We start from the raw sequence: 4,864 nt of genomic DNA on the forward strand, positions 1-4,864 counted from the left end.
AACAGGATAGCTCTGCTGTCATGCCTCGTAAGTGTTCCTAAAAGTCACCCGCTATGGATAAACAAAGTGTAGTATATACACACAATGGAAGATTATTCAGCCTTAAAAAAGAAGGAAATTCTGACCCATGCTACAACATGCGTGAACTTTGAGGACATTATGCTAAGTGAAATAAAACAGTCACAAAAGGACATATACCGTATGATTCCACTTATAGAGTAGTCAAATTTCTAGAGACTGGAAGTAGAATGGTGGTTGCCAGGAGCAGGGGAGAAGAGAAGTGGGGAGTTGTGAACTGGGTATAGAAGTTCAGTTTTTTTAAGATGAAAATAATTCTGTGGATGGATGGTGGTGACAGTAGCACCACAATATGAATGTCCTTAGTACCACTGAGCTGTATATTTTAAAATGGACACATTGGGCTGGGCATGGTGGCTCATGCCTATAATCCCAGCACTTTGGGAGGCCAAGGCAAGTGGATCACCTGAGGTCAAGAGTTCGGGACCAGCCTGGCCAACATGGTAAAACCCCATCTCTACTAAAAATGCAAAAATTAGCCGGGCACAGTGGCACATGCCTGTAATCCCAGCCACCCAGGAGGATGAGGCAGGATAATTGCTTGAACCGAAGAGGCTGAAGTTGCAGTGAGCTGAGATCATGCCAATGCACTCCAGCTTGGGCGACAGAGCAAGACTCTGTCAAAAAAAAAAAAAAAAAATCACAGTGAAAATTTTTATGCTGTGTCTTTTTATCACAATTTAGAAAAAAATAAAATAAAATAAAACAAAGAATCACCACACTGTGCAAAAACCACAGGGTTCATGAGAACAATGGAGTTGGGGTACAATGCTCATAAACTTCCTTCGGCGACACACGAAAAATAAAAGAAACCTAATAAAAAGGGTAACACGGTTTTACACATGTTAAATGCCATAAAAGACATACATAGACACTACAATAAGCATGACGCTACACACACTTCACTCTGTATGTGGAAGCGAGCTTCAGAATTACTGTCAGGTGGTGGGAGGAGGTAGATCTGGAGTCAGAAGGAAGGTTGTAGCATCCTGTGAGTGGCCATAACACACAGGAACTGAGAATGCTGGGAGATGTTTGAAGTGTGTCCATGTGTGTGTTATGTATATTCCTACACAGCTCAGTTCAACTGGGTGCAATTTTCTGCACTCACCTTGTGTTTCTCACACACCAAATCAGACATAAGCAAATGCAAAACTAACATGATGCTCAAATAGTTTCCTGACACATGGATCGCATTGAAACAAATTTGCATTTTCAAAATAAGCACCGTAGCCAAACAGACTGTATCTACCTGATGGAATTGTTACAAGGATTATGCGATTTAATGCAGATGAAGCTTTCAATAGTGCCCACCCCATGGTAACTGCTCAAAAATAATGCTAGTGACTGTGGTGTGTGGAACAATGGCAGTGGTTATTGTGGGGCCATAGCTATTTTTCATGTTACTACTCCAAAGGGAGTAGCCCAGAGATGGACGAAGGGAGACTGCATGCCCATTTTACAGATGACAGAACTAAGGCTCAAAGAATCTGAGAAATTTCTCAAGATCATACAAGAGTCTGGTACAAAGTGCACAGAAGTCTGGACCGCTGCACCCTTCTAGGTCAACAGAGGTGACCAGATGGTTTCTGCGAACTCCTGCAGGGGACATGGTCAAGTACCCAAATGTCTGCTTACACCCCAGAAAATAAGCTGGCATATAGAAAGGGGCAAGGAACCACAGCTGGAGAGCTCCTAGGCTTTAGGGAGCCTTTAATTAAAAACAAAAATGAAAAAACAGATATAGAACTTGTTTCGTGTTCCCTGGGTGCCTGGTGGTTTAATCACTTTGCTCAGGTCAACAGGCCTATCAGGAAAAGTCTCTCCACCTTCAGGGAATTTGAGCCCTTTTTAAAAGGCAAAGAAAATGGGTAAAACTTTCAGTTCTGTCTGAAAAAACAAGACTGACTTTTCTGGTGGTTCCTATTGACTTGGAAAGAGCACATCTGCCCGTCAAATGGCATTTTACCAGCTGATCAATTTGGTGTCATTCTCATTGAATTAAATCAAATTGAAATGTAATTCCCTTCCCGGAACAAATCCCCCTGCAGGGATTCGCTGCACAGAAGTGTTTGACCTTGTACTGGCTGCCTAGAGGGCTTTCCAGAAATCTAGGGGCATATGAGAGGTCTGCAGAGCTCACGGAGTGCTGGGCACAACCCACTCAGCTGACTTTCAGGCTGGACTTTGCAGGAATTAGAAAAAGCCTCCCCCACAAGGTGGTAAAATTACAAAATGCTGCCTCGTCTGGAAGGGAGAAGCTGCTCCTTCTTCTAGGCTTTGGCAGCCCCAAACCAGGCTGCAAAGGTTGGAGAGTATAAGTGAGCTGGTTTTTAACCCCAATCACCCCCCAGACTCAACTTACCCAACCACAGGCAGCAGCACTAGTCAGCTCCCATTGCGGCCACCATAGTAGGCTCAGCTCTGAGAGATCCCTGGAGCACAGGCTCAGCTCCGGCCAACACAGATGTGGCTCCAAGGATCCAGTGGCTCTTGGCTGAACTGGCTACAACTGTCTCTACCAAGCCTTGGGAGACCCTAAGTACAAGATCACAAAGCAATCTATGCCCAGAACTCCCCATGGAACCTGAGGCTGTGCACCTCTGACCTGTGACCCTCCTGTCCTTTATCCATCCCTTCACTCTGCCTTGGAAGTCAGAGGACCTGCCACCAAATCTCAGCTCTCCTGGGCCAGTGACTTAACCTCTCTGAGCTTCAGCCCCTCACTGTCAAAGCTACAGAAGCAATACCTGACAGCCACATGTGGAAGTGAGCGTGGGACCGAGAAGCAAGGCTGCCCTCTGAGAAAGAGGTTAGTAAAATCCACGCAGAATGATGAAATATGTTGTCTGTTGGCACAAACCAAGAGATGACCTGAAAATGTGACTGAACAGAGTTTGGGAAGACCCCAAAAGCCAATCATGGTGGCCTGGGTATGGTCACGGGGAGGCAAGACTTTGGGAGGGGGTGATGGTAATTGAGTAAGCAGAAACCTAATTAACTAAATCAGTTGACAAAAGACTGCGTGAACAGAGAGAACATGCCTAGCCTGGAGCAGAGACAAGGGGAGCCCAAGGAGCCAGAAGTTGGCCATATTTATTCTGCAATAAATTCACAAAGTTGATGCCAGGCTCAAAGGCCTCTTAGCAGCCAACCTATCAGCCTCCTCTTAGAAATGCCCAACCTCTCATCAACCCTTTTCAAGCTGCAACAATCCTTAGTCCCAGGGTTGTCATAAGGATTAAACAGGGAAGTGCCTGGGACATAGCAGGTGGCAAATGAACTAACATTCCCCTCTCACTCGGTTCCCTTTTTTCCTACAATAATAACCAATGTCAAGTCATTCTAGCCACACAAGCATTTTCTCCTAGATTTTCCTGAGGTCCCTGCTCTTCCATTCCCTGGTCCAACTATCTTCTCCGCATATATCCACCCATCCCACCTCCTTCCTCTATGCCCTGTGGGTTGACGCTTTTACTGTCAAGGAACTCCTCTCTGCTCTAAATCTAGTGGGAAACGAAAATTAGTGAACTAATCACAGAAATATCTACTTACAACTGGCGCCAAGTGTTCTGAAGGAAAGGTGGGAGCATAGGTAGTGGGTGCTGTGGTGTGCCCCCCAATCCTCCCTTCAGGGCTGAGACACTTATTCCCAACTGCCAAGGGTATTGGATGCTGGCAGCTCTCACTTGAGTCTTCCTCAAGAATTGCCCTCAGCCCTTAACAGCCACCTTGCAAAGACCAAGCCCCATCCCTGGGGTATGTCATTGCCAATGACCAGTAAATGCAGTCACGGGAAAGCTACTGGGTGGTCCCAGCTCCACAGCTCCTTAAGGAATTGATGTTGGCCTTGATTATGACATTATCACAGCTCTACCACTCCACCTGCTCATTCTCACTCCCACCTCATACCCTGTGGGTGTCGGTTCCATGCACACAGGTCCCTGTCCTGGAATCTGTCCCAGAAGGAACAACAAAGACAACATGTCAAAGAAGGATTGCTCTAGTTGGTGGCCGGGGATGAGGGGAATGTTTGATGGTCACAGAAAGCTTCCCTAATAAAAAATGGGTACATTTGAGTGGAAATCCAAAGAATAAGGAGTTATCTAGACGAAAAAAAGAGAGGAAAGATGTTCTAGGCAGAGGGAACAGAATGTGGGAAGACCCTGAGACAAGAAGGACATTTCAAGGCAGTGTGGCTGGAACACTGAGCATGAGAGAAGTCAGGGGAGCAAGGACAGTGAGGATGGAAAGGTTGGCATGGGCTGGATCAGGCAGGGCTGAGCAGGCTGAGTTAGGACACAGTCTGACCCAAGGAAAACGTTCTGATCCGTGATTGTATTAGTTTGCCGGTGCTGCCATAACAAAATGCCACAGACTAAGTGGCTTAAACAACAAGAATTTACTCCTCACAGTTCTGGAGGCTGGAAGTCCAAGATCAAGGTGTCGGCAGGGTTGGTCTCCTCCAAGGCCTCTCTCACTGGTTGCAGATGGCCACCCTCTTGCCGCCCTTTTCATATACACGGTCATCCATCTGTGCACGCCACCCCTGGTGTCTCTTTGCCTCCAAATTTCTTTTTATGAGGACGTCAAGTAGATGGGATTAGGGCCTGCTCTAATGGCCTCATTTTAACTTAATCTCCTCTTTAAAGGTCCTATCCCCAAATACTGTTACATTCTGAGTACTGAGGGTTAGGATTTCAGCATATGAATTTGGTGGGGTGGGCACAGCTCAGCTCATGACAGTGATGTTATCTGTCAGCAAGATCTTATACATGTATAAAAC

Source organism: Homo sapiens, chromosome 1 (genome assembly GCF_000001405.40).
Source record: "Homo sapiens chromosome 1, GRCh38.p14 Primary Assembly".
Lineage (NCBI taxonomy): Eukaryota > Metazoa > Chordata > Mammalia > Primates > Hominidae > Homo > Homo sapiens.